Below are 6,978 nucleotides of genomic sequence, written 5' to 3'. Positions count from 1 at the left end.
TTCTATTTATATGTAATTTTACTGTCTATGTCTTGAAAAGTTGTTGCAGTTGTTATTTTTGATTGGTTTATTGTTTAGTCTTTCTACCTTGCATAAAAGTAGTTCACACACCACAGTTACGGTGTTATAATATTATTTAATTTTCTGTGTACTTACTATCACCAGCAACTGTATTTAACTATATGGTTTAAATAATTCCTCCATCAGCAAGTGTTAGCCGAGTTTGGTTTGCTTTTTCTTTCCGTTATAACAGGAAAGCACTGAATTCAATGCCTCACAATTGCTGAACTCTCCCTTTCTGCACCATGCCACCATTGTTGGGGGATGTGGGAAAAATAGTGTAAAAGATTCAAGACTGTTATTCCTACCCGTTCAGTGCCTCTTTCAGCAATATGAAGTTAAAACCAGGTACCATGAGTGCTCACCTGACTTTTGGTTCTTACGAAGGTGCTTTTTAAATGTAGGTCATTGTTAAATTGGTGTCCTTGCAGGGGGGATGGTTGGCGAAGCCTTCCATTCTACCATCTTGATGTACCTATGAGCCATCTATGACATTTTAACTTAATTAGTTTAAAGCTACATAACCATATAAGCTTTCCATTGTCTAAATTATTAGAGGCCCAATTTTAAGATAAATTTTTGGCCTCTACATTTCTTTATTATAACATTTAGTAAATAGAAAATTATCAAAAAACTATTCAAAACATTTAGTCTGTAACTGTCATTGCTACCATACAATAAATTCTATGAGGGCAGGGACTCAGTCTGTGATTCACAGGTTCTCTGATATGTGACTGCTCTTTGTGGGAATTTAACCTCTGCATAAAATAATGAATACATGTCTGCACATTTAAAAAATAATTCCACATAAAATGTAGATCTATCTGATTATCTTAGGAAACTGTATATTCCTTCCACAGCATGAAGAGGTTATACTGTTTATCCTGGGGTCATGGCTTAGGAGAACAATGGGCCTGACTATAGAAAAAAACAAGCGGTAATCAGTTTAGAGTTGTTCATAAGCCAACAATTTGAATTATACAAAATAACCATATATACTGAAAAGATGTAGGAGAGAGTGTAAAATGATACAAAGGTGCTCCTTTAGGACAAAGATGCTTTGGGTGACTCTGGACTCATGTGAGAATTTAGGAGTGGTGTTGGACCTATGAATATGTTGGACCCACCACTTGTGTTGAACAGAATAAAGGTCATGGAGCTGTTGGCCCAGGTTATAATTTCCAAACACAAAACACTAAAAAATGATAAAAACATGACATGTCATAAATGTGGAATTCTGTTATTAACTACTCCAGAACAGTGTTTAAAATAATCTTTGTGTTCTTTATGGTGTTCCACTTACCAGTAACATACACAGGAAAAAATGACATTTACAAGCCTATTCAGAATTCAGCACATAATTTGGATATTAGAGATTCAAATATATTTGGAAGCATGTAGTTTAAGCTACGTTCACCTGAGGTTTTGGGGGCTGATGGTGATGACCTGGGAGATACTCAAGAGGCAGATGGTGCCAATGCACATGCTGTGGCCACTCTGTGAATACAGAAAACAACTTTCTATCTAATATTACTGAAAAAATATTTCAACTCCAAATCAGTCATTGTCTAAGGGACCTTTTTGGAGAGTACCAAGGAGTTGGCCATAGGTGCTTGAGAGTCAAATCTGTGTATCACAATGTGCATCTGGTAATTAAAGAAAATCTGATGTCAAGGAAGAAAAAAAATCCAACTATTTAACTATGGTCTGAGATAAGATCATTCCTACTGCTATATTACTGGAGACAATCTGATATTTTCAAGTAACTGATAATTTCATTTCCACGTGAGGAGATCTTTCATGGACAGATGAGGTCTGTTTTATGGAGAAAATAGAAACATTCTACTGTGTACTTCCCATTGTATCCAACTCAGAAATATTTTATTGAAACTTTTATTTCACAATACTTTTGTTCTAAAGAGAAAAACATATATATTCCCACTATACTATAACACTACTCTAGAATACTATAACAGGTTTTACATGTATTTTTATCATACATCTACAATGTGCTTTATTGTTCCCTTTTTACAGGTAAGGAGATATTAAACAAAAGAAGGCTGAATGACATTTCTAAAGTCACCTCATTGTAAAAAGAAAGTTTCAGGTGTAGACAATGTGCTTATCCACTATGTTTCTCAATCTTACAGACACAGATACACTTTAATATGTCACAAATTTGTTATTTTTAATTTTGCATATTTGTCAGTTATAAAATATATTTGTACTTTAAAAGAGTTTTGATTGTAGCGATCTCATTTAAATCTAACCAAATTAAATCTAACCATTTATTACAGGGAAAATTGTATTTTTAGTGAATGAAAACATCAAATAAAGTTATTTCAATGTTAGAATCATTAAATATATTAAAACAAATCCATTTTGGAGAGGAAAACTGGAGGCACAGATACTTATTTACTTAAATAATTGAAATAGTTGAATATTAAGCCTGGCAAGGGTTTAGAATTTTTTTTTTCTTTGAGACGGAGTCTCCCTCTGTTGCCCAAGCTAGAATGCAGTGGCACGATCTTGGCTCACCACAACCTCCGCCTCTTAGGTTCAAGTGATTCTCCTGCCTCAGCCTCCCAAGTAGCTGGGACTACAGGCACATGCCACCATGCCCGGCTAATTTTTGCATTTTTAGTAGAGATGGGCTTTCACTATGTTGGCCAGGCTGCGGCTTTAGAATATTTTTAAACCAAGAAGAAATGTCACAAACTATTCAATTCTGAAAACAATTGAAATCCATGCTTTTTTTTTTCTAATGTGAAAACATTAAGGTCATCAAGTTACCTTTCCTTGAATCCTCCTTCCCTGATTTAATGAAGCAAATAGTCTTATCATAATTGACAAAGACCAGATGTTTTCTGTCGCCATCCAATTATGATCTTTCTTAAGTATATAATATGCCCTAGCAGGTAAAATAACACAACAAAAAACCTACATTTAATATTTTTGAAAAGAATAAGATAATTCAATCAGCTACATTCTATGCACTTTATATGCATGAAGGTATTGGAGAAATATATCTACTAATCTTGGAGTCATTCCTGACTCTTGTAGAGAAAATAAGAGTTAGCGGATTAATAGTCAAAATGTATTGAAGAACTTTTCATAAAACATATTCCATATCTTTATACATCACAAAGCAACAATGAGGACCACTGAGAATTACATTATATTAAATTATGATCAGTTATGGAATGGCTTATGTTCTTGATATTATATTCTTTCCACAATTTCAGCCTATGAGTTAGTAATTATTTCACACCTTATGCATGGTTTTGGCAGTGGTCAGTTTCTGGAACAGAAGAGTTACTTTTTCAGACAAGGCACAACCTACAACAAATTTAATTTAAAGATGGAATTGGCTTATATTTGTAATTGTAGAGTTTTATGGATTCTACTTTGAGGCTCAAACAGCACTAATTCACTTGGGTTAGCTTCAAATGCATTATGAAGTCAAACTTAGCCAGTTTTTTGGTATCAATATTTGTTGTCTAAGATTCCCCAGGTCTTCCTGGATATTAATGCACCATTACATGTGCATTTTGTTTAATTTTGGTTCAGAGAAAGCAGATGGTACCTCCAGATGTGGCCCCTAAACAATCCCTGCAGCTCAACTCTACTGAACCCACAGAGCCCACTCCGTGTCCTCAATCTAGGTCTGGAGTGAAGCTTTGCCCAAGACAATCTATACAGAGCCTTTTCACAAGTGCCATTTCATGAAATGACAGTTAAATAAAGATGGGAGGAGACTGAGGTAAGGTCCTGGGTGAGTGCAAGCCAATGTGTCAGGTAGGAGACTGCAGAATCAAAGGTTAGTCAGTGCTAAACACAGCACTGCATTAAGAAGATAATCAACCAAGAATGACTATCACCTGGGTTGATATTGCCATTCTTCATGTCTCTTTCTTTTCTCTCTTTCTCCAGACTTCTTTCTTAGATAAGATCAGTCCTGAGAAGTCACTTCACAATGTATAATATGACATTTAGAACTTCAAATATGCCTTTTTTTTGGTGCCACAATCCAGTAATTAGGAAGAAACTCACATGTTGAAAAAAGGTTCTATGCTGACCAGTAGAAGAAAAAAAAAACTCACACTGAAAACTCTTATATGAAGTCTGGGCATTGTGGCTCAGCACTTTGGGAGGCAGAAGAGGGTGAATCACCTGAGCTCACTTTGGGAGGCAGAAGAGGGTGAATCACCTGGGGAACATGGTGAGACACCGTCTCTACAAAAATATAAAAATTAGCTGGGCACGGTGGCATTCGCCTGTAGTTCCAGCTACTTGGGAGGCTGAGGCAGGATAATTGCTTGAGCCCCAGAGGCAGAGGTTGCAGTGTGCCAAGATTGCACTATTGTACTCCTGCCTGGGTGACAGAGTGAGACTTTGTCTTAAAAAAAAAAAATTACATGGAGACAAACAAATGATCTATTTCTACTCTTTTCCCCAAATTACTATCTAATGTTAGTGAAGCCCACACATTAGGTAACAGCCAGGGGTATGTGGCTGGACTCATCCTCCCTTTCAAATCACAAAACCCTCAGTTTCTGCTAGTCCCTGCTGAGCATAGGGTCACCAGGGGAGAATGAACACAGCTTTTCATTTCTTGTGGTCCTGCATTTCCCAGCCTTCCTTCCATTTCTGAGCCCTAACCCGCAAACTATTCTTTTATGCTCCATCCTGCATGCTGAAGTTGACCTTTTGGTTTATTTTTTTGTCACACTCGAGCCTGAGTGTGACAAACAGGGAGAGAAAGAGAGAGAGAGAAAAAATGAGAGTAAGGGGAGAAGGTCTTAATTGTAATATTAATTATCTTTTACCTTTGTTCACTCATTTATTTATTGGTCTTTCATACTGTTTGCTATTTTTTGTTATTGTTATATATTCACTGTTGGTGTTTAAATTTATTTTGAGACAGATGTTGGTCGCAAGTGTTGGACTTAGCCAACAGCTTGCATTGTCTAAAGTCGACCAGGTGGCTCTTGCCGGCGGTAGTACCACACAGGTCCAGCAGAGGGATGCAATCGTGATTCACTGTGGCCTCCATCTCCCCGGTCTTGCCCAGGTGGTCTACCCATCTTGGCCTTCCGAGTAGTACGTGGGAGTACTCGCATTTTCTTCTTCTGTTTGTTCTCTAACCCCACTTTCAGATTGTTTCCATAGTACTTAGAGTGATTTGTTGTTGTTTCTCTTCTTTGTTCTTTTCTCTATTTTCCTTAGCTCCTTCCTGGACATTGAAATTGAAGTTTTAGATTTTATTTTTTGTCACACTCCAGCCTCGGTGTGACAAATGGAAAAAAGAGAGAGAGAGAGAGAAAAAAGAGAGAGGAAAGGAGAAGATCTCAATTGTGATATTAATTACCTTATACCATTGTTCACTCCCACTTTATTGGTCTGTAATATTGGTTGTTATTCTTTGTTATTGTTAAATATTTACTGTTGGGTTTTTTTGTTTATTTATTTTGAGACTGATATCGGCCTCGAGCCTCGGACTTAGCTTCCAGCTTACCATCTTTAAGGCTGACCAGATGACTCTCGCTTTGCCATATCTAAGGTCGACTGGATGGCTGTCGCTGGAGGTAGTACCATTCAGGTCCAGCAGAGGGATGCGATTGTGAATCTCTGCGTCCTTGATCTCCCTGGTTCCACCCAGGTGATCTTCCCATCTCAGCCTACCAGTACCTGGGACTACTCGGACCTTCTTCCTCTGTTTTTTTCCTAAACACACTTCCAGTTTGTTTCCACAATACTTAAGAGTGACTTGTTGTTGTTTATCTTCTTTGTTCTTTTTTCTTTCTATTCTCCTATGCTCCTTCCTGTACGCTGAAGCTGACCTTTTGGTTTGTTTTTTTTGGTCACACTCCAGACTGGGTGTGACAAAGAGACAGAGAGTGTGTGTGTGTGTGTGTGTGTGTGTGTGAAAATAAATGTTAATTTTGACACTAATTACCTTTTACCTTTGTTCACTCCCATTTATTTATTTATTGGTCTTTAATTTTTTTTGTTGTTATGTATTTACTGTAGGTTTTTAAATTTATTTTGAGACAGATGTCAGTCGCAAGCGTTGGACTTAGCCTCCAGCTTTCCATGTCTAAGGTTGACCAGATGGCTCTCGCCTTGCCATGTCTAAGATCGTCCATATGATTTTCACCAGTGGCAGTACCGTTCAGGTCCAGCAGGAGGATACAATGGTGATTCACTCTGGCCTTCACTTCCCCGGTCTTGCCCAGGTGGTCAACCCATCTCGGCCCCTTGAATACCTGGGACTACTCGGACCTTCTTCCTCTGTTTTTTCCAACCCCATTTTCAGTTTCTTTCCACAGTACATAGAGTGATTTGCTGTTGTTTTTCTTCTTTGTTCTTTTCTCTCAGTATTTTCCTACACTCCTTCCTGCACACTGAGGTTGACTTTTAGATTTTTTTATCACACTGTAGCCTGGGTGTGACATACAGGGAGAAAGAGAAAAGAGATCTTAATTGTGATATTAATTACCTTTTATTATTGTTCACTTCCACTTATTTATTGGTCAATAATATTGTATGTTACTATTTCTTTATTGTTAAATATTTACTGTTGTTTTTTGTGTATTTATTTTTTGACAGATCTCAGCCACAAGCATTGGACTTAGCTGCCAGCTTGCCATGTCTAAGGTCAACTAGGTATCTCTTGCCTTGCTATGTATAAGGTCGAGCAGATGGCTCTCGCTGGTGACAGTACAGTTTATGTGCAGCAGAGGGATGCGATCGTGATTCACTGTGACCTCAATGTTCCCAGTCTCACCTGGGTGATCTATCCATCTTGGCCTCCCGTGTACCTGAAACAACCTTCTTCCTCTGTTTTTTATCTAACCCTACTGATAGTTTGTTTCCAAAGTACTTACAGTGACCTGCTGTTGTTTTTCTTCTTTG

General features: G+C 37.6%; 1 pseudogene; it reads right to left on the bottom strand.

The window, feature by feature from the left end:
• On the bottom strand, nt 881–1,782 carry VN1R92P (vomeronasal 1 receptor 92 pseudogene; annotated as a pseudogene).

The sequence above is a fragment of the Homo sapiens genome, chromosome 19 (genome assembly GCF_000001405.40).
Source record: "Homo sapiens chromosome 19, GRCh38.p14 Primary Assembly".
Classification (NCBI taxonomy): domain Eukaryota; kingdom Metazoa; phylum Chordata; class Mammalia; order Primates; family Hominidae; genus Homo; species Homo sapiens.
This window is presented reverse-complemented; position numbering and strand designations above follow the sequence as displayed.